At 35.2% G+C, this 25,101-nt stretch overlaps 1 protein-coding gene across 19 annotated transcripts in view; it reads right to left on the reverse strand.

Moving 5' to 3' along the window:
* ANKS1B (ankyrin repeat and sterile alpha motif domain containing 1B) overlaps positions 1 to 25,101 on the reverse strand; it is a 1,250,151-nt gene that overhangs the window by 1,018,192 nt on the left and 206,858 nt on the right. For 17 of the 19 annotated variants that reach the window (XM_006719514.5, XM_006719507.5, NM_152788.4 and 14 more), the window contains exons 7-8: positions 22,571 to 22,684; positions 19,945 to 20,111 (exon numbers count right to left, since the gene is read on the reverse strand). In XM_006719514.5, the coding sequence (XP_006719577.1) occupies positions 19,945 to 20,111; positions 22,571 to 22,684 (281 nt within the window). Of the gene's footprint in view, positions 1 to 6,356; positions 6,950 to 19,944; positions 20,112 to 21,646; positions 21,781 to 22,570; positions 22,685 to 25,101 lie in introns of those variants that run through there. The other 2 variants (XM_047429165.1, XM_024449061.2) reach the window with 2 other exon arrangements.

The raw sequence follows: 25,101 nt of genomic DNA on the forward strand, positions 1-25,101 counted from the left end.
ATAAATAATATACTTTGAAACAATGACTGATTCATTGTTAAACTGCATGATTATATAGTATAAAGATTATAAATTCAGTTGAAGTTCAGGTGTTTTTTATTATGAGATACTGTACTTTTAAATTCTGGAATTTCCAATTAATGTTTTTAATAGATCTCATTTCTCTTCTGAGAGTCTCCATCTGTTCAAAGAAAAAGAAAAAGTCTGAGCTGGAGTAAGTAAGGAGGTTTCTATATAAAGAAAGACTTGAACTACACCTCATAAGATGAACAAGATTTAAACAAACAGCAAAGATGAGAGAATGAAACAATGAGCAAACACACCATGCAAGAAATGCCTATGATATTTTTAGACAAATAACAAAGGAATAAGCTATACTGGTGGCAGGAAGGAGAACAGAAAGAAATATCATTGGATAAGGAGGGGTAGTAACAGAATCGGAAGATCTTGACATTCTTGAACTCCAAGAAGAGGAAGGGGCCACGATAATTTAGTTAAAATAAGGCTCAATATTGTATCACTGCTCTGTATACTTCAATGTGTTTTTGTAGTGGCTGGTAACAGTCTTTCCTTTTCATATTTAGTGCTTCCTTCAGAAGCTCTTGTAAGGCAGGTCTGGTGGTAACAAACTCCCTCAGCATTTGCTTGTCTGAAAAGGATCTTATTTCTCTTTTGCCTATGAGGACAGAGTCAAATCTACACATATCAATACCAGCCTTAAATGTAAATAAGCTAAATACCACAATTAAAAGACACAAAGTAGGGTGGGCACGGTGGCTCACACCTGTAATACTAGCACTTTGGGAGGCCAAGGTGGGTGGATCACCTGAGGTCAGGAGTTCGAGATCAACCTGGCCAACATAGTGAAACCCCATCTCTTCTAAAAATACAAAAAATCAGCCGGGCATGGTGCTGGGCACCTGTAATCCCAGCAACTCAGGAGGTTGAGGCAGGAGAATTGATTGAACCCAGGAGGCAGAGGTTACAGTGAGCCAAGATCACACCATTGCACTCCAGCCTGGGCAACAAGAGCAAAACTCCATCTCAAAAATAAAATAAAATAAAATAAAAGACACAAAGTGGCAAGCTAGATAAAGAACCAAGATCCATTGGTATGCTGTTTGCAAGAGACTCATCTCACATGTAATGACACACATAGGCTCAAAATAAAGGGACAGAGAAAAATCTACCATGCTAATGGAAAACAAACCAAAAAAAGCAAGGGTTGCTATTCTTATTTCAGACAAAACAGACTTTAAACTAACAAAGATCAAAAAAGACAAAAGAGGGCATTACATAATCATAAAGGGTTCAATTAAGAAGATCTAACTATCCTAAATATATATGCACCCAACACAGGAGGAAGCAGATTCTTAAATCAAGTTCTTAGAGACTTTCAAAAAGACTTAGACTTCCAGAGAATAACAGTGGGAAACTTTAATACTCCACTGACAATATGAGAAAGATCACTGAGACAGTAAATTAACAAAGGTATTCAGGACCTGAACTCAGCAATGGATCACATGAACCCAGCAGATATTTACAGAACTCTCCCCCAGAATATACATTCTTCTCATTGCCACATGGCACATACTCTAAAATTGATCACATAATTTAAAGTAAAACACACCTTGGCAAATGCAAAAGAACTGAAAATCATAACAAACAGTCTCTCAGACCACAGTGCAATTAAATTGGAAATCAAGACTAAGAAATTCACTCAAAGCCATACAACTACATGCAAACTGAATAACCTGCTCCTGAATGACTTTTGTGTAAATAATGAAATTAAGGCAGCAATCAATAAGTTATTTGGAATTAATGAGAACAAAGATACAACATACCAGAATCTCTGGGACACAGCTCAGGCACTGTTAAGAAGGAAATTTATAGCACTAAATGCCCACGTCAAAAAGTTAGAAAGAGCTCAAGTTAACAACCTAACATCACAACTAAAAGAACTATACAACCAAGAGCAAACAAATCCCAAAGCTAGTAGAGTACAAAACATAACCAAAATCAGAGCTGAATTTAAGGAGATTGAGACACGACAAAAAAAATCCAAAAGATTAACAAATCCAGGAGCTGCTTTTTAAAAAAAAAAATTAATAACATAGAACAAATAGCTAAGCTAATAAAGAAGAAAAGAGGGAAGATTCAAATAAACACAATCAGAAATAACAATGGGGATATTACCCCGACCCCATAGAAATGCAAACAACCATCAAAGAATATTATGAACACCTCTATGCACATAAACTAGAAAATCTAGAAGAAATGAATAAATTCCTGGACACATATACCCTCCCAAGACTGAACCAGGAAGAAATTGATTCTCTGAGCAAACCAAACCTCTGAAATTGAAGCAATAATAAACAGCCTACCAACCAGAAAAAGCCCAGGACCAGAAAGATTCACGACTAAATTCTACCAGATGTACAAAGAAGAACCAGTACCATTCCTACTGAAACTATTCCAAAAAATTGAAAAGGAGGGACTCCTCCCTAACTCATTCTATGAGGCCAACATCATCCTGATACCAAAACCTGGCAAAGATACCACAAAAAAAGAAAAATTCACACCAATATCCTTCAGGAAAATGGATGCAAAAATCCTCAAAAAAAAAAAAAAAAAAACTGACAAGCTGAATCTGGCAGCAAATGAAAAACCCTATCCACCATAATCAAGCAGGCTCTATCCCTGAGATCCAAGGCTGGTTCAACATACACAAGTCAATAAATGTGATTCATCACATTAACAGAACTAAAGACAAAAATCACATAATTATCACAATAGATGCAGAAAAGGCTTTTGATAAAATTCAACATCCATTCATGTTAAAAACTCTCAATAAACAGACTTTAAACCAACAAAGATCAAAGAAGGGCATTACATAATGGTAAAGGGATCATACCTCAAAATAATAAGGACATACCTTATAATGTCCTTATTTTGAGGACATACCTCAAAATAATAAGAGCCATATATGACAAACCCACAGCCAACATCATACTGAACGAGCAAAAGCTGGGGGTGTTCCCACTGAAAACTGGAACAAGACAAGGAAGCCCTCTCTCACCACTTCTATTCAACATAGTACTGAAAGTCCTGGCCAGGGCAACCAGGCAAGAGAAGGAAATAAAGAGCATTTGAATAGGAAGAGAGGAAGTAAAACCATCCCTGTTTGCAGATGACATGATCCATATCTAGAAAACCACATAGTCTTAGCCCAAAAGCTTCTTAAGCTGATAAACAACTTCAGCAAAGTCTCAAGATACAAAACCAATGTGCAAAAATAACTAGCATTCCTACAACAGGCAAGTGGAGAGTCAAATCAGGAACATACTCCCATTCACAATAGCCACAAAAAGAATAAAATTCCTAGGAATACAGCTAACTAGGGAGGTAAAAGATTTCTACAAGAACTACAAAACACTGCACAAAGAAATCAGAGATGACACAAACAAAAATAAATTCCATGCTAATGGATAGGAAGAATCAATATCGTGAAAATGGTCACACTGCCCAAATCAATTTAGATTCAATACTATTCCTATTAAACTAACATTGAGACTCTTCAAGAACTAGAAAAAAACTACTTTAAAATGAATATGGAACCAAAAAAGAACCAAAATATCCAAGGCAATTCTAAGCAAAAAGAACAAAGCTGGAGGCATCATGCTACCCAATTTCAAACTATACTATGGGGCTACAGCAACCAAAACAGCATAGTACTGGTACAGAAACAGATACACAGACCAATGGAACAGTATAGAGAATTCAGAAATAAGACCACACACCAGAAATAAGACCACACACCTACAACTATGTGATCTTTGACAAACCTGACAAAAAACAAGCAATGGGGAAAGGATTCCCTATTCAATAAATGGTGCTTGAATAACTGGCTAGCAATATGCAGAAAACTGAAACTGTACCCCTTCCTCATACCATATACAAAAATTAACTCAAGATGGATTAAAGACTTAAATGTAATACCCAAAACTATAAAAAAAATCCTGGAAGACAACCTAAGTAATACCATTCAGGACACAGGAATGGGCAAAGATTTCATGACAAAGATGCCAAAAGCAACTACAACAAAAGCAAAAATTGACAAATGGGATCTAATTAAACTAAAGACTTCTGCACAGCCAAAGAAACTATCAACAGAGTAAACAGAAAACCTACATATTGGGAGAAAATTTTTGGAAACTATGCATCCAACAAAGGTCTAATAGCCAGCATCTTTAAGGAACTTAAACAAATTTACAAGAAAAAAACGACCACATAAAAAAGTGGGCAAAGAACATTAACAGGCACTTCAAAAGAAGACATACATGCAGCCAACAAGCATATGAAAAAAATGTGCAACATCACTGATCATTAGAGAAACACAAACCAAAACCACAATGAGATGCCATCTCACCCAAATGGCTATTAAAATGTAAAAAACATAACAGACGCTGGCAAGGTTATGGAAAAAAAAGCAATGTTTATACACTGTTGGTGGGAGTGTAAATTAGTTCAACCATTATAGAAGACAGTACGGTGATTCCTCAAAGATCTAAAGACAGAAATACCATTCAACACAGCAATCCCATTACTGGGTATATACCCAATGGAATAAAAATCATTCTATTATAAAGACGAATGCACACATATGTTCATTACAGCACTATTCACAATAGCAAAGAGATGGAATCAACCTAAATGCCTATCAGTGATGGACTGAATAAAGAATATGTGGTGCATATATATATACTGGAATACTATGCCACCATAAAAAAGAATGAGATCATGCCCTTTCCAGGAACATGGATGAATCTGAGGCCATTATCTTTAGCAAGCTAATGCAGGAACAGAAAACCAAATACCACATATTCTCACTTGTAAGTGGGAGCTAAGTGATGAGAACACACAGACAAATAGAGAACAGCACACACTGGGGTCTACTGAAGGGTTGTGGGTGGGAGAAGGGAGAGTATTGGGAAAAACAACCAATGGGTACTAGACTAATAGCTGAGTTATGAAATAATCTATACAACAAACCCCCATGGCACAAGTTTATCTATGTAACAAACCTGCACATGTAACCCTGAACTTAAAATAGACGTAAAAAAAGTAAGGCTCTCATTGATTTTTGACCGTGAAGTCATGAAATACAAACTCCATTTCAGAAAGTCTCATCTGGCAGTATAATATAGGTGTGGGTTAGAATTAAGAGAGACTGATTGCAAAGAAAGGAACAAAAACATTGGTTTGACACCTTCTGTGTGTCCAACACACTGCTAAATACTTTTTACACAAAGTATACTTCAATAGGAAACAGTGAGAGACTAAGACAAAATGGGAAGGTTAGCTATAATTATGGGGTAACCTTTCAGTGATACAGAGAAAAATACATATAAATGATTCAACAAATAAAATAGAAATGACAGGCTACCATTCGTTTAGTGTGTAATCTGTGGTGAGCACTGTGTTAGGTACTCCATACTTATCACCTCTATCCTCACAACAATCCTGCAAGGTACTATTATTCTTATTGCTACCATTTTTCATATTAAAAAAATCTAAACATCAGGGAAATATTTACCAGGGAAATAATACCTGCAAGATACTATTACTATTACTATTGTTACCATTTTTCAGATGAGAAATCTAAAGATCAGTGAAATATCTACCTATGGAGTAGAACTGGAATTCAAACACAAGTCTTTTGAACTCAAATTCCTGTTCTCTACCCTATAATGTCACATACAATACAAAAATATGTTATTGAAGAAATTAGTGTAATTCTTTAATGCAAGGACTCTTTAATGTAAGTTAGTGAGGATGATAATTACTATGACAGTAAAAACACTTTAATGTTTGAGAAAGGGGCACCAGGCTAGGTAAAACTAGGATTAGAGATTCAAGGGCAAAAGGAAATCTTTCAAAGCTGGAATGGATTTATTTCAGTAACAAAGAATAGATTATAGGAAAAGATATAACATGTCAATTTTTGTCTCATTTATTCTGAGGGCAGGCAATTTTCACTTTAATGATCCCGCTTCTCACTAGTTCATTTTCTTTGTTCATTTTAAAGTCTTTATTTCCTGTCGGATTTATTCCCTTGACTAAGCATTCTTTCTCCAAATTAAGACTTTGCTTCTCATTATTAATGATTTGATAGCACAGACTGGCAGCTATCACCTAAATGGAACTGTTAGGAAACTGTAAACAAACACAACTTTTCAGCTTTAAAAAGCATAGATGGCAGATGCAAGAATTCTGGCAAAGCCATGTGAAAATAACATCAGTTTTAAAAATCTAAGCCTGAGATTGAAGCAGGCCACACTGTATCTTTTACTTACGATTATTGATTCTGATTCTATCATAGAGAATCCCAATTCTTCAGCTGTTAGAGGCTGAATGAATTCCAATATTCTTTAGTTGTGGCCCAAATGGTCTCCTGATAAAATATGTTGAAGCATGAGCAATTTCAGCAATTTTTTCTGGGTTACTAGTCTACTATTCCATCAGAATTAATTTGCTCTTCAAGGTGAAAAGCATTTCCTCGGACACAGAGTTAAGTGATTATTGCAACTGCCATGTCTCTTTAAGCTCAGGCTCTCGCCTGATTTCCTTTGGCATTAGGCAGCAAAATGGATTTTTTTAAATACTGGCAAGCTGTCCAAGGTCTTCACTCAAAAAGAGAGCCAAGAACTCCCAAATGTAAACCTTGAAATAGAATTACAAATTAGGTACACTATGACAAATGAACAAGGTAAATGTGAAAAGTGACTAAAAGTTAACTTCATCATTATCCAGAATGTGAGGTTAAAAGAAAGGTGAATTATTACTACATTTTCAGGAAAACATTACAATTAGCTCATAAGTGTAAAGTACAGATTCTCAGGAAAATTCTAACAGCTGAGTTCTTCTACTAGAAAGTTTAATTCAAGTTAGAGATTATAAAGAGATTAGAAAGAACAAAAGTATCAAAACAAAAACTGGCCAATAATATATCTGAAGAGTATATAAAAATGGTAACCTCACAAATGTCATAAAGTTCAAAACATAAAAATTAAAATATTTTAGAAAGGAAGTTTACTGCCCTTAATAGAATGCTCATAATATAGATGCATATTTTAACATCAAACACATTTTAAGCACATGCACAATGAAATACTGTGCATCAGTGAAGTCCATAAAAATGTGCAAGAATCATTAACAATTAGAAAAAAACAGGATGTCATCAACCACCAAATATACATTCTTATCACCTGCACAGGGAACATACTCAAAGATTGATGACATGCTCAGCCATAAAGCGAGTCTCAATAAATTCAAAAAAATCAAAACCATACCAACCATATTTTTGGACCACAGTGGAATAAAAATAGAAATCAATGCCATAAACATATCTCAAAACCATCCCTCAAATCTTTTCAATTTCATGAAAACTAAACAACTTGCTACTGAATGAGTTTTGGGTACGCAATGAAATTAAGGCAGATATCAAAAAAATCTTTGAAATAAACTAAAACAGACGTAACATACCAAAATCTCTGAGATGCAGCAGAAGCAATGTTAAGAGGAAAGTCTATAGTGCTAAATGCCTACCTCAAAAAATTTTTAAAGATCTCAAATTAATAATCTAACATCACACCCAGAGGAACTAGAAAAACAAGAACAAATCAGAAGAAAAGAAATAAATAAAATAAAATAAAATCAGTGCAGAAGTGAATGAAATTAAGACCCAAAAATTCATACAAAAAAATCTATAAAACCAAAAGTTGGCATGAAAGGATAAATAAGATCAATAGGCTGGCAGCTACATTAACAAAGAAAGAAGAGACAATATCCAAATAAGCACAATCAGAAATGGCAAAGGTGACATTAAAACCAATCCCACCGAAATACAAAAAAAACCCTCAGAGACTATGATGAACACCATATATATACAAACTAGAAAATCTAGAGGAAGTAGATAAATTCCTGGAAATACACCATATCCCAGGGTTAAATCAGGAAGACATTGAAACCCTGAATAGACCAATAATGAATTCCGAAATGGAATCAGTAATAAAAAGCCTAACAACCAAAAAAAAAAAAAAAAAACCCTGGACCAGAAGGATTTACAGCTGAATTCTACCAGACATACAAAGAAGAGCTGGTATTAATTCTGCTGAAACTATTCCAAAAAATTGAGGAGAATGAACTCCTCCCTAACTCATGAAGCCGCCATCATCCTAATATCAAAACCTGGCAAAGACACACACACACACACACAAAAGAAAACTACAGGCCAATATACCTGATGAACAGAGAAGCAAATATCCTCAGCAAACAAACTAAAAGCAGTAGTGCATCAAAAACTTACGACGATGAAGGAGGCTTTCTCCCTGGGATACAGGGTTGATTAAACATATACAAACCAATAAATGGGATTTACCACATAAGCAGATTTAAAAGCAAAATCAATATGATCATCTCAATAGATGCAATAAAGATACCTTCAATAAAATCCAACATCCCTTCATGATAAAAACCTTCAACAAATTAGGCATCAAAGAAACACAACTCAAAATAATAAAAGCCATCTATGACAAACTCACAGCCAACATTATAATAAATGGGCAAAAACTAGAAGCATTTTCCTTAAGGACTAGAACAAGACAAGTATGGCTACTCTCACCACTCATATATAACATAGTACTGAAAGTCCTAGCTGGAGCCATCATGCAAGAGGAATAAATAAAAGGCATCCAAATGGAAAACAAAAATTCAAACTATCTGTCTTCACTAATGATACGATTCTATGCCTAGAAAACCCTAAACTCCAACAAAAAGCTGTTGAAACTTATAAATGACTTCAGCACATTTTCAGAACATAAAATCTATATATGAAGATCATTATAATTTCTATACATCAATAACATTCAATCTGAGAACCACAGTAAGAATGCAATCCCATTTACAATAAACACACAAAAAACGAAATACCAAGGAATACAGCTAACCAGGGAGGTGAAAGATCTCTACAATGAGAACTACAAAACCCACTGTTCAAAGAAATCAGAGATGATACAAAGAAATGGAAAAACATGCCATGTTCATGGGCTGGAAGAATCAATATCAATAAAATGTCCACACTACCCAAAGCAATCTACAGATTGAATGTATTCTTATTAAAGTACCAATATCATTTTTCACACAATTAGAAAAAAACTATTCTAAAATTCACATGGAATCAAAAACAAGCTCGAATAGCCAAAGTAATCCTAAAAGAATGAAGCCAGAGGCATCACATTTCCCAACTTCCAACTATACTATACAGCTACAATAACAAATACTTCATGGTACTGGTACAAAAACAGAAACATAGAACAAAGGAACAGAATAGAGAACTCAGAAATAAAGCCACACAACTACAACCATCTAATCTTCCACAAAAATAAACAATGGGGAAAGGACAAGCTATTCAATAAATAGTGCTGGGATACCTGGCTAGCCATACGCAGAATGAAACTGGACCCTTACCTTTCATCATACACAACAATTAAGAAAAGATAGATTAAAGATTTAGATGTAAGACCTCAAACTCTAAGAATCTTAGAATGAAACCTAGAAAACACCATTCTGGACATAGGTCTGGGCAAAGATTTCATGATAAAGACTTCAAGAGCAATTGCAACAAAAACAAAAATTGACTTAAAACCTTCTGCACAGAAAAAGAAACTATAAACACAGTAAACAGACAACTTACAGAATGGTAGAAAATATTCACAATCCATGCATCTGACAAAGGTCTAATATCCAGAATCTATAAGGAACTTAAAAAGTCAACAAGCAAAAAACAACCCCATTAAAAAATGGGTAAAGGACATGAAAAGAAGATATACATGCAGTTAATAAGTATGTGAAAAAAATCCTCAACATTACTAATCATTAGAGAAGTGCAAATCAAAACCATTGAATGCAATCTCACACCTGTCACAATGACTATTATTAAAAAGTTAAAAAAAAAACAGATGTTGGTGAGGTTGTGTAGAAAAGGGATCGCTTAAACACTATTTGTGGGAATGTCAGTTAATTCAGCTACTATAGAAATAGTTTGGAGACTTCTCAATGAACTTAAAACAGAACTACCATTTGACCCAGCAATCCCATTACTGGGTGTATGACCACAGGAACACAAATCATTCTACCATTAAGACACATCCACGTATGCTCATTGCAGCACTTTTCACAACAGCAAAGACATGGAATCAATCTAGATATCCATCAACGGTGGACTAGATAAAGAAAACGTGGCACATATACACCATGGGATACTATGCAGCCATAAAAAAGAATAAAACTGTGTCCTTTGCAGCAACATGGATGCAGGTGGAGGCCATTATCCTAAGCAAATTAACACAGGAACAGATAACCAAATACCACTTGTTCTTACTCGTAAGTGTGAGTTAAACACTGAATACACATGGAAACACACATGGACACAAAGAGGGGAACTACAGACAATGGGGCTTACTTGCGGGTGTAGCACGGGAGGAGAGTAAGGATCAAAAAGCTACATATTGGGTACTATGCTCATTACCTGGGAGAATAAATCATTTGTACACCAAATCCCAGTGACACACAGTTTACCCATGTAACAAACCTGCATATGTACCTCACTGAACCTAAAATAAAAGCTGGAAAAAAAAAAACAAAATAGCCCCATCTCAATAATACAGAAAGAATAACAAGGATTAATTCAAAAATGTTTATCACATAAATATTTAGGAATTCAAAAATTAATAATGTAATCAGACATATTTCCTATATTCATATACTATATACTTCCTTCGTATATGTTATCAGGAATTAAACATGGTATTTGTAATACAGGATATCCTTCTCATCAGTGAGAGTGATGTACTATTACCTAAGAAAAATATAATTTGACTTAAGATCCTAGCGATATATTGTGAAGTCAATAATATAGTTTACAGGGGTATTTTATTTCATCCTCAAAGAAACTGGCGAGGTATTCATTATTTGAAAAATCACCCAACAGGGGAAGTTCTTCTCAGATCATAAATATTCCATGTTAGAATTTTTCTCATATGCCTACACCGAAATACAGGTTATCAAACAGATGTTTTTATGCCCATGACCTGTTCTATCAATTCAATAAATGTTTGCTAAGCATGTGAGTGAGGAACTATGCTAAGGACAAATACATGCACACACACAGATTAATATTTTCCCTGTCTTCAAGGAGCTTATAGGCAAAGTCAAAAAAGATGATTCATGCATAATTAATACAAAGCAGCATAATGATGCAAATAGTTAGATCTAAATAGAAGGATCAAAAATAGTTTTCAATAAGTAGAGATGGTAGGGATAATATATATAGACAAAACATGAACGTGGACAATAAGAAAGACAGACGTGTTTGAGAGTAATCCATTTTATTTATTTATTTAGAGACAGAGTTTCACTCTTGTCATCCAGGCTGGAGTGCAGTGGAGCTATCTTGGCTCACTGCAACCTCCACCTCCCGGGTTCAAGTGATTCTCCTGCCTCAGCCTCCTGAGTAGCTGGGATGACAGGTGCACACCACCAGGCCCAGCTAGTTTTTGTATTTTTAGTAAAGATGGAGTTTCACCATGTTGGCCAGGCTGGTCTCTAACTCCCGACCTCAGGTGATCCTCCAGTCTCAGCCTCCCAAAGTGCTGAGATTACAGGCATGCACCACCGTGCCTGGCCAAGAATAATCCATTTTACTAAAATATATTTATCTAAGACATTACTAGCAGATAAAGCTGGAAAAATATGATGAAGCTAGAAATGAAGGGTCTTGAATGCCTGAGTTAAACGTTTCTATTTAACATTTGCAGTGAGGACCAGGGCTAGTTTTGAGTAGGAAAATGACATGACCAGAATGGCACTTAAGGCATACTGACTTGGCAGCATTGCTCAGAATAAATATGAGCAGATGAAGAGGAGAGACTAGAAGTGGGTGGACAGGGTAGGAGGCTCTTGAAATAACTCAGGTGAGGGGAAATGATGGTCTGAACCCACAAACTGGCAGGAATGATGAAAAGGTGAGAGGTCAATCTGGAAGACAGTAATGAAAGACAGAATGATCTACTTGTAAGACATTGGACATACATTCAGATCCAAGATTTACCTTTTGGGCAACTGACTTTACTCCTGATTCCCACGTTGAGGATAATAAAACCTACCTCATGGGATTGTTGTCAGGAATAAAGGAGATAATGATTTTTAACATGTTTACACAATGCCTAGCATGTAGTGAAAATTTAGTACTTAATAAATGCTAGCTTCTAGTGTTACAATTATTTTGAGATATTATAGTTTGGTCACTGTTTACTGATTTTTTTAGTAGCTACATCTCACTGCTGGTTCACGTAGCAGTTGTAGTCATCTATATACCCTAAAACTTTTGTGTGAACTACTCTCTGACATTAAATCTCCCCCACCTTGTATTTATACCATTGATTTTTAAGGAATCTAAATATAAGATTTTATACTAACTCCCACTGAATTCTATGTTTTTACCTTGAGCCAAGATTTCAGCCTATTGAGATAATTTTTCATATAAGTTCAATTATTTGTCATATTTGCTATTCCTCCCTAACTTCTACAAAGCTGATTAGAATACATATGGCTTTTTCCAAGTAAAATATTGACTCAGACCAATCCAAGAACAAAATATTTCACTTTCACTAGAGAAATCCCCTCTACGTTGACATTTTGTGACTATTTAGAACGTCTGGACAAAATTGGACAAAGTCTGTGAAACATAAAAATCAAGATCTCTTCAGCAACATAAAAGAGAACAAAATAGCTCTTTTCTATGGCTGACAGAAAGCCAGAGTAAAATTTTTTTAACCGATGCAGAAACTAAGGCTTGGAAATATCAAGCAACTTCCAAAGGTCACCCTGCTAGTAAATTGCAGAACAGAGTTGTACAACCAAATCTGTAGGACTCACAATCTCATGCTCTTAACTGCTAGACTAAGTTATCTCCCTAAGAAAGATGGTTGAGATTCCCATCATGATTGCTGGGAAAAACCTCCACTTTGGTCTCTGGAATTCATCTCCAAATAATTAAATGCATTTTGCAATGATAATGGTTCATTTGCAAGAACATATACACTTTTATATGCAGTCTTTGCCTTTTTATGCATTTATTCAGTCAATGAACTTTCACTGAGAGACCACTACATTCAAGGCACCGTGTGAGGCAGGATGTGACTACAGAGATCAATCTAATAATGAACCTACTGTCAAAGGGGTATATAAGAAGTAATGCAAAACATATACACCTACAAGGCAAGGCAGAAAGAGATGTATCAAGAATGGTAAAAAGCAAGTGTGCTAGAAGTTCAGAAAAATGACTCTTTTATTCTACTAGCCATTTTCTCAAGGACTTCCTAGATTCCCTAAGGTTACAAAAAGTTCTTCCTGAGGTGAGGGTAGGAACAAAAACTTACCCTTCTGATTCTGGATTTTTCCATTAATGTACCTACAGTACATACGTGTGGTTAATGGTATTGTTTTCAATATATAAATGCAGGTCAACATGATCCTAGTTCTACATTCCCTAATTCTTGCAAAACCTGTTAGGAGATTTCCAACCTTAGTTGAATCACCTTGAGTCACCACATCCAAAAGGTCTGTTCAACTACATAAGAAATAGATTGTTCAGGTTAGAATGTTCTTTTGAACATTGTATACCACTGCTTAAGATTTAGCACCACTATAAAAAATTATACATGCTAAAGAATCAGTTATGTTCCTATAATAAGCCTCTATTTACATTTCAAAAAATTTGCCTCCCAAGATTCTCTAAATCTGATGGAAATTGGGTAAGATAGCCACGAAGCTCTCTCCAAATTCTGAAATTGATGCATTCCTGATAATAAGCTCTAGAAATTGGGTTAGAATGTGTTTGAAGGTAAACTTTGTTTCAGAAACACCATTTGGTTTTTAGGCAATCTAATCTGACTCTACTGATCTTTAAAACTTGATGAATTTTAGAACTAAATTAAGTATATTTTCCAAAAGTAGGGACCTCACTCCCAGAGAGTATTCTCAAGAATAGCTTGGCATTAAAAAAAACTGAAAATCCTTCAAGGTAAATCTTGAAATCTTAAAATACTAAAATAAAATACCTCACACTTCAGAAGGCTGACATGTAATTAAATATTTTGCATTGGAAAAGAAAGTAAAATAACAGAAAAGAGGCATAGTTGCTGAACAAAATTGCACAAAACCTGCCAATGCAACCCCTTTCAAACCAAAAGCTTTAGATGCTGCTTGTGTCAAGAGAAAAAAATACATAACACGTTTCATCCCTTAAGCTTCTTATTTACTTCTTAAAGACATACGCTGATGAGGTAATGTTCTATTACAAATGTTTAAAAAAAAAACAAAAAAACTTTTCCTGGTACCTGGATTCTGAAATCTGCTCTAATGATCTTTATCATCAAATTTCTCTATGGCATGCTGTGTTCACATTTAAGAATTGTATAGATTGTTTATACACATGGAGGAAAAAACATGAATATAAGGCTTGGGAAAACATAAAGAGAATAGAAAATTTTTTCAGATGATTTCACATTCTTTCGAAAACCTAAATTTCATGAGTTGGTAAAGAATGTTAGGATATTTATATTTCTTCAAAATTTACATTCTAGATTATATAATGTCCTAATTCAACTTAGAAAATGGTTTCAGATGCATATTATAAGAGTATATAAAACAGACTGACTTTTGAATTAAAATGTATGCAAGACAAAATGCAATTTTAACTTGAGCTAGCCTTTATATTACATGCAAAACCTCCAATTGAATACATTCAATCATAATAAGAATTTAATTTTTAACTTATATTAGTAAAAGTGTTCAAACTACCATATTATAGCTAATATTTTAATAGAAACAAAAATCTCCGATTCAAAAATAAAAGTTCTTACATAAGATGGCTGGTTTTGTATTTGAAATTACTGAATCAGAGTGCCCTCTATTGGAAGAAAAGAGACAACAAAAGCTAAACTGAACTAAGAATATAGGTAAAATACTTCCAAAACTCAAGCCACATCATTAATATGTAAAACACATTAATTAAAAATATGGATGCTACAAAACATATTTCCTTACATTTTTATTTCTCCAAAATAACTTTTGGAATTACTTGTCATATCACAATCAGCAAGTTGGATGTTTCATATCCTATGAAATTAAATTTTAACTGAACCCAAATGCTCATCATTTAACCAGTAATATAAATAACAGACATACAGAAATGTTTTCCACATTTAATAGTCCAATATAACATAGAAATGTTATAATTGAGGACTGTGGTTTGACTGCAGTTTGGATTTTCCTTGATGATAAACTGAAAGCCTCCTTGCTATGAACCTCATGTCGGTGTCCCCGCCAAGTTTATATGTTGAAATCCTAAACCCCAATGTGATGGTATTAAGGAGGGGGTGTTGGGAGGTCATCAGATGATAACCCCTTATGATGTGCTAGTGTTCATATAAGAAAACATCAGGAGGGCTGGGCGCAGTGGCTCACACCTGTAATCCCAGCACTTTGGGAAGCCGAGGCAGGCAGATCACAAGGTCGGGAGATCGAGACCATCGTGGCCAACATGGTGAAACCCCGTGTCTACTAAAATACAAAAAATTAGCCAGGTGTGGTGGCACGTGCCTGTAGTCCCAGCTACTCAGGAGGCTGAGGCAGGGGAATCGCTTGAACCCCGGAGGCGGAGGTTGCAGTGAGCCGAGATTGTACCACTGCACTCCAGCCTGCGACAGAGCACGACTCCGTCTCAGAAAAAAAAAAAAAAAAAAAAAAACACATCAGGAGAACCTGCTTTTTTCCCCTCTGTTCTTTGCCACATGAAGATACAACCAGAAGACAGCCCTCTGCAAACCAGGAAGCAGGCCTTCACCAGCTACCAGCTCTGCTGGTACCTTCATCTTGGGCTTCTCGGACTCCAGAACTGTGAGAAATAAATGCTTTTTTTTTTTTCCAAGCCACCCAATCTACGCTAATTTGTTATAGCACAGATAATCCCTAATTCAAGAGACTTTTAGAAGCTCTTACACTGGGGAATTGCAGAAGTAGGCTGGACATTAAGATTTACGAGATTTGTTCCATCTCAAAAAATTCTAGTTTTGTGGTGTTTTCAAGACCTCAGTTCTGACTCATCATCTCAGACCTGAATTACCTCAGAAAGATCTTGGCTGATTTTTGGCTCCCTAGACCAGTAGTATGGATGTTAGACCTGAGAAGCTTTTCCAAGAGCAATGCTCAGAGCTACCCAAAATTATTTTGATTTAGTTGGTCTGGACTGGTATCTGAGGGCATCAGTATTTATTTTTTAGAGCCTCTCTAGGTAAATCTAATATACAACTATGGCTGAGAACCATTGTTTGAGCCTCTCCCCAGATCAAGCAACATACAACTACCACTTTTATTTTCCAAAAATGTCACTTTCAGGAGAACTCTCCTACACAAGAATTTATTCTCAGGATCAATTTTAAACTTCTGGCTAGCCTCCCAATCTACTTAGCTGCCTTTGTTCTCTGACAATAGAGTTGAGTGGCAAGGGGTTATGGCTCCAGCTCCAGAATGTCTGTGTTCTTGGCTCTGTAATTACCGCATGAAACTGGGAAAGTCATAAAAGCTCCCTGTATGGAGAAATAATACTATCCTTTTCAAAGGGTTATTGTGAGGATTAAATCAGTTAATACAAGTAAAGTGTTCCATAAATTGAGGTATTATCATTACTTACCCAACTTTATTTCCTACTACTTTCCAAAACAAACTCTCATCATAAATCATTCTCAAATTATGCACTAATTCTCATCTCTGTGCTTTTGCACTTACTGTTTCTTCAGGCTGGAATCCTTTCTCAATCATTTGTCCCAACAAAAGTGAAAAGCACAGCTCCCCTTTCACCAGGACACAGCTTAGTCTCTCCCTACCTCCACAAAGACTTCAATGAGTATCTGTAAATATTCACTGGTCTCTCCCTTTTAAAAATTCCTTTGGCCACAAGGTAGCATACTATGAGAAATGTGGCTGAGAATTAAAAACACTGGCTCAGAGTTTGAATCCTCACTCTGCCACTTGGCAGCTAAGTCATTTTCTAAATCCATATTGTTAGGATTACTTAATAAGCGACTTAAATCACGTAAAGCATTAGAGTAGCAAATAGCAAAAACTGAGTAAGTGTCAGTTCTTATTTATTCAGTGTTTTATATGTTAGCCTTCAGTTATAGTCTACACACTGTGACTGAAGTCTCCTTAGGATAGGTGTTTTGAAACACTTGAAATCAAGAACCATATCTATTATAAATCCCACAACTCAAAACATGGTAAGAACCATCTGTATTAGGTGACCTATATTAGGTGACCTGTACTTGACTAAACTTTTTGCAACATGTAAGAGTATAATTGAAGCAATATTCTGGAAAAAAAACTTTTTTGATGAATAGAAACAAATATTCAACAAAACATGGAATGAATTCAAATAAAACAGGCTACAGAAAAGGGTCAAAGTAATTTGATTACTTTTTAAACATTCGCTAACAGGTTTCTATCAGATTCATCTTCTGAAAGGTCAGTTCCAATGATGTCTTTTATCTGCCCAAAATCCTTTAGATTTTTCTCATTTCTTAAAAAAAAAACCAAAATTCTTAGCCTGACATTCATAATTATCCATGACCTGACCTCAAACTACACTTCTACTCTCTCATCTTTCCCCTTTGTAAACTCTATTCTTCCAAATAAACAGAATTATTTGCTCTTACTCATATATACCATCTGCTTTTCTCCCTCCACATAATCTTTAATATTTTATAGGGAAATATTTTCAAAGAACACTATTGTAAAGGTTTGTCACAGGAACGAAGAGTGGTGTTAGAAAAGCATGAGTTCAGATTTCAAAACCTTAACGCTCAATTTATGAGCATTAATTTCTTTCTTGCCACTATCACAATACAGTCTTTGGCTTACAAAAAAAATTGAACATCTTTTCCCCAAACTATTATCACTCTCTCAAAGTCAAAAGCCTTTGCCGTAACTTCCTGAAAGATAGAAGCTTGAATCATGGTCTCCAAGCAGCACATACAGACCCCAGGGCATATAAGATATTCATTGGGTAAACGAAAAATAATTAGAGCTTCTGTTTTACACTTATTCTCTACCTTCCTCAATTTGAATTTCTTTTGTTGTGTATGTCTCATAATTTACATCAAATATTACTAGAAATGCAGTCTATATATATATAATTTACAAATAATCAGGGATATTTGCTCAAAATTTGTTTACTAATGGTACGTACAACAAAAAAGTTTGGAAACCCTGGTCTAAAAAATTAGGGCTTTCAGAATATCTGTGGTTTTACAAGTAGAAGGCCAGAAGCTGCCAGTTTACATAAATCTTTGAGGATGGATCTAAAAATATAAACACTATGTGTTGTTTATATAGCACAAATATGTTTTAAGTTCTAACTAACTTTCAAGGAAATATTAAAATGTAACTGATTGGTAACCTGGAGACAGCATACACCTATTTCAGATTTTTTAACAGAGGATTTTGTCCCAACATTAAAGTTACTATTATAAATTATTTCATTAATATAAAAATTTCATTTGGTAAAACTTACAGGTATTTACTTCAGTACATATACAACTGTTCATAGTTATTCATAAAGAATTTTTATTGGGGCCAATAATAGGATGTTTTTACAAAAGAGAGTGAAGCACAAAAACAAAATGAAACAAAAAAAGCAGGCCAAGGAGGTAGGACTAGCCATGGAACTAGATTAGCAAGTGCTATCCCAGGAAACAGTGTCACAGCTTACTTTAAGTAACTAAATTAAGTAAATGTTCTCATAATGGACAGTCACTATACTTAGCAAGTTTTTTTTTAGTTTTCACAAATAATATGACATACTTAACACAGTTCACTCTATTACTGGCTTTTGAATAAAGTATGATATATCTGTAACAAATTAAGTTCTAAAAGTGACTACAGATTTCTTATCAGAATAATGTATTTCCTTTAATACCAGTATATACTATAAGTCCTTCCTCTACAGGACAAAAAGTAGGTTTAAATATCTTAATATTAAACTGATTTATTCTCTATAGTTTTTCTTGCTTTTGTGTTCATATAAAAATCCAAATGAGTGAGAATCACCCATGGCCTGACCTCAATCTATCCTTCTAATCTTATCTCCCCTCTTTCTTCTTTGTAAACTCTCATTCCTAATAAATAGAAATACTTGCTCTTACTCAACTATATCATCTGTTTTTCTGCCTCACATAACCTTTAATATTTTATATGGCAATATTTTCAAAGAACACTATCATAAAGGCGTTGTCACAGGAACTAACTCATGCTTAAGATTCTGAGCTTATCAAAGAGAAACCTCTTGGGATTTGCATAATATTATAAAAATATGCAGACTGAACTTTCCACATTTCTCTCCTACTATGACTTCAGGAGGAAGTGAGGAAACTATACGTGTGGCTCTGCTCTGTTAGTCTGAGTTCATAGAGAAAATGGGGAAGACAGTCGAAAGGAAGGTTTTTGTCTTTTTTTGGGAACCAACATCATTATGCCCAGTAAAACTAAAGGAACACAACAACAACAACAACAACAAATACCAAAAATCCATGTTTTTAAGAAAGAGTCTAAAAGTAGAGAGACCATGAAGTGATCTGTCAAAGCACTCCTTCCCCTACACATGCACTGCGAGTAAAACCCCAAAGAACGTCAGGAAAAGAGCAATAAGGAAACTGACATCTTAGAGTGGCGGAATCTGATAATGCACCACATCCCATACCTCTTAAGTGTACACACTGAACTGGCAAAGACAGACACATTATCTTCATTCCCCCCCGCCTTACTTACTACACTCTGGCTTCCATTTTTCCCAAGTTCTTCCTCTGAAATCTTGCTCAAATTATCTAAGTAGTGGTCTGATATTGTGTGGCACAAGTCTTCAAACGAATAATCCTTTTCTTGACAGAGTTTTATTTCATCCAAGAGTTTTGATAATTCTCCAGTGACGGTTTCACCTATGAGAATAATTTTTTCAGAAGTTTCAAGAAAGGCTATTGTTAAAACTTAATGTTAAGCAATAAAAATATGACTGCTATGGTGATAGAACTCAAAATATAACAAGATTAAGCAGTCAGACACTATTCTGCTGAAAACAAGGTACTCAACCATAATTAGTACAACAATATTAATGGGCAAAAGAGATTATAATTTTGCCTATTTTTATTCTTTTTCAAAATAGAAATAATTATTGTAAGGTTATGTATACATAGTACATAAAAGCATCTGGAATTACAATTCCCAAAGCTTCACTTATTATAGGATTTAATTTCCATAATATTTCATTGGTATTTTACTTCACTGACAGAATTCATTAGCAAATTTGAAACGGTGCTGAGAAACTTCTTCCTAGGTTCAATAAACAGAAATAGTACAAGTTATTTAAACAAATAATAACATAGGTAATCAGTACCTTAAGAATTATGGTATATGATATAAAGTAAAAACACAAAAGAAACAAACAATATGCATCATCTGTCAAACATGAAGATTTTGTAGATTACATGAAAATATGCACATTTCTAAACAGTCTCAGAAAGATACCTTATACCTGTAATTTATTCTGAAAAAAATGCCCAGCAGTTACAATCCAGATTTTAATATTTTTATTCTGACATAAAAACATATTTAACATCAGCTGACTATAGATGCATGGATTTATTTCTGGACTTTATTCTGTTTTATTGGTATATATGTCTGTTTTCATGCCTGTACCATACTGTTTTGATTACTGTAGCTCTTCACAAGGTTTCCAAGAACACAAAATGTGGAAAAGATAGTCTCTTCAATAAATAGTGTTGGGAAAGTGGATAGCCACATGCAAAAGCATGAAATATGACCCTTATCTCATCCCCTATGTAAAAATCAATGCAAACAGTATAAAGACTGGAACATTAAGACCTGAAAATATGAAACTCCTAAAAGAAAACATAGGGAAAAAACTTGATATTTGTTTGGACAATGATTTCTTGGATATGAACAAAAGCAAAAATGAACACGCAGGATTGGATCAAACTAAGAAGCTTCTGCACTGCAAATAAAACAATCAACACACTAAAAAGATAACTTAAGGAATGGGAGAAAATATTTGCAAACCATAGATCTGGTAAGGGGTTAATGTGCAAAATACATAAGGAATTCACATAACTCAATAGCAAAAACACAAATAACCTAATTTTAAAATGGGCTAAGGACTCGAATAGACATTTCTTCAAAAAAGGCACATAAATGACCCAAGGTATATGAAAAGGTGCTCAATATCACTAATAATCAGGCAAATGTAAATGAAAGCCACAATGGGGTATCATCTCCCATCTATTAGAATGGCTATTCTCAAAAAGACAAAAGATAGGAGGTGTTTCTGAGGATGTGGAGAAAGGGAACCCTGTATGCTGTCCATGGGAATGTAAAATGTTAAAGGCTCTATGGAAAACAGTATGGAGATTCCTCAAAAAATTAAAAATAGAATTACCATATGATTCAGTAATCCCACCTTGGGGTGCTTATTCACAGGAAATGAAACCAGTATCTTGGAGAGATATCTGCACCCTTCTGTTCATTGCAACATTCTTCAGAACAGCCAAGACATGAAAACAACTGAAGTATACACTGTCAGATGGATGGATAAATAAAATGCAATGTGTGTATACATTTATATACACACTACACAAACAATGGACTATTATTCAGCCTTAAAAAAGGAGATCCTGCCATTTGTAACAACATGGATGAACCTAGAGGATATTATCCTAAGTGAGATGAACCAGGTACAGAAAGACAAATACTGCATGATCTCACATGTGGAATCTAAAAAAGTCAAAGTCATAAAACAGAGAGTAGAATGGTGAATGCCAGGGGCTGGGGAGTGGAGGAGATGGGAAAGTGTTGATCAAAGGGTACAAAGGTTCAGTTATGGGGGATTAATAAATTCTGGAGATTTAAAATACAGCATGGTGACTATAGTTAATAATATTCTATTGTATACCTGAAACTTGCTAAGAGAGTTGATCTTAAGTGTTCTCTCCAAAATAAAAAATAAAAAATACTATGTGAGATGATGGCTATGTTAATTAGCTTGATTTTGGCAATTATTCCACAAAGTATATATCAAGTTGCACACTGTAAATATATACAATTTTTATTTGCCAAGTATACCTCAATAAAGCTGGGGAAAAACACATTTAAGAAAAAAACACATTTAAGAAACATATACTCCAGATAAACTTCATTACAGCAGGGATAGTTTTCTGCTTTGCTCACTACTGTATCTCAGGGCTGAGAAGCCCTAATCAGTAACAGGAGCTCTTATAAATGGATGAAATATAGAGTATAGGATATAACCTATTAGACTTGAAATTTTCACAACTGTACATACAAGTCTAGTATAGATTCCAGGGCTTTATAATTAGGTACTCACTTTTGGTCTTTTGGGAAGGAGACTCAACAGGAGATGAAATGTGTGTTTCTTGTGTTGCATCTTCCTGTACAGGCTCTTCGAGGACTGTAGATCTTCCCACGCCTTCTAAATACTCTGTGTGTATACATTTTTGAGATTACATACTTGAATTCATTTATTTTAAAATCAATAAATTTTAAGTTTTACTTCTGGTAATCAGTTTTTCATTTATTTTTTCATATCCTAAATATATCCTAAGTTTTCAAAAGAACTTCAAAAAACCAAACATATCAAAAGAACGCCATGATGAGCTATTTAATTAAAGTTGTAATTAAAAAAAGACACTGGATTATTTGGGAGAAACTCTTGAACCCCTTTCTTCTAAAACCTAAACTTAAAACATTCTTTCCTTAAAAATAAATTCACCTATTGAAGATACAATAAACTCCTTGGTCTCCTTATTTTCCATCTGAAGATTTTAAACTGTCTGAAAGATGCTTTGAATAGATTTAATCCCCAAAACAGGAATGTCAAATTCAGATGGATACCACAACCAGCCAGGTAACATAAACGAATGAAATGGAATAAGTTCATTTCAAAATGGTGCTGTAATCTTGTAACATAAGCATAATTTGCATATTAACTTTATTTCCACAAAGAAATAATGTTCATTGCCATTATTCTTGAAGTAATGTCCTATACTCAGCCTATTTTTCATTTTTCTAGTTTTGATACAGATATAATATTAGGAATAGCAGCTTAAACTTAAATATTGCTTACTATGGACCCAGCATTGTTCTAAGTGTTTTGTATAAATTAACTCATGTAATCCTTACAAAACTATGACACATGCACTAAATTTTAAAGATTACAAGTAAAGGAGGAGTATTATTAACTTGTCCATGTTCATTCAGCTAATAGGTGGCAAAGCCAAATAAATATAAGACAAGAAAACATCTCACTTTTCTCTTAACCATAAAGAAAACAGCATCTGAATGTAGAAATAAATGTTAACCAATATTCAGCCTCACAGACCATGTTGAACCAGAGAACAAATGACCAATCTAAAGTTCATCCCTGAAATAAAACTTCTTTTAGAGAAACCAAAACTCCAGAGTTTGAGCTAAAATCCTAGGGTTTTTTTTGTTTCTTTTTGGTTGTTTGTTTGTTTGAGATGGATTCTCGCTCTGTCGCCCAGGCTGGAGTGCAGTGGTGCAATCTTGACTCACTGCAACCTCCGCCTCCCAGGTTCAAATAATTCTCCTGCCTCAGCCCCCCAAGCTAGCTGAGACTACAGATATGTGCCACCACACCCGGCTCATTTTTTTTTGTATTTTTAGTAGAGACAGGGTTTCACCATGTTCGCCAGGCTGGTCTGGAACTCCTGACCTTGTAATCCGCCCACCTCGGCCTCCCAAAGTGCTGGGATTACAAGCGTGAGCCACCGCACCCTGCCAAATTCTAGATTTTTAAATGTTAACAGCTAATTCAATTTTTATGGAAACACAATGTGGGCTCAAAATATGTGATATATACAAAGCATGTGTGCTATCTGCCAAAGCGTTCAGCCCACAAGTGGCTAGTTTGTAGCCTCTGTATAAAGATTAAATGAACAGATCCCTTTTCATACAGAGCATTTGCTTATACTTCTTTATTCAAGAACCTTTTTCTTAAAATCTAATAAAGAAAATTTGTATTCTCATGCCAAACAAGTATGTCCTCATACCATTCAAATAATTTCTACCAGGGAAATCCAGGAATGCAAAGAACAGAGATGACGTGTTCACATTCTGAAATTTGCCAGTAATTAGAGAACTTCAAAGATGTACTGTATGCCCTACCACAAATTAACATACCTAATTAATCTTGACCATTTAGGAGAGCAAAGATAGTTACTCCCATGTAACAACATTTCATCTTATATAAACCAATGCAGTATGTTTTTAAAAAGTCCATGGTTATGTCACACCCCATTTTCTAGTGGGTGACATTTATTTTGCTTTTCCCAAAAGACATATTACACACATGCTTCAGTTTTGTTTTTTTGTTTGTTTGTTTGTTTTGTTTGGTTTGTTTGAGACGGAGTCTCGCTCTGTTGCTCAGGCTGGAGTGCAGTGGCGCGATCTCGGCTCACTGCAACCTCTGCCTTCTGGGTTCACGCCATTCTCCTGCCTCAGCCTCCCAAGTAGCTGGGACTACAGGCGCCCACCACCGCGCCCGGCTAAGTTTTTGTATTTTTAGTAGAGACGGGGTTTCACCGTGTTAGCCGGGATGGTCTAGATCTCCTGACCTCGTGATCCACCCACCTCAGCCTCCCAAAGTGCTGGGATTACAGGCATGAGCCATCGCGCCTGGCCCATGCTTCAGTTTTTAAAAGTTCAGTGAGAGGCAGCCGGGCACGGTAGCTCACGCCTGTAATCCCAGCATTTTGGGAGGCCAAGGCGGGTGGCCCACAAAGTCAGGAGATCAAGACCATCCTGGCTAACATCGTGAAACTCCGTCTCTACTAAAAATACCAAAGAAATTAGCTGGGCATGGTGGCGGGTGCCTGT

The sequence above is a fragment of the Homo sapiens genome, chromosome 12 (assembly GCF_000001405.40).
Source record: "Homo sapiens chromosome 12, GRCh38.p14 Primary Assembly".
In the NCBI taxonomy this organism is placed as follows: Eukaryota; Metazoa; Chordata; class Mammalia; order Primates; family Hominidae; genus Homo; species Homo sapiens.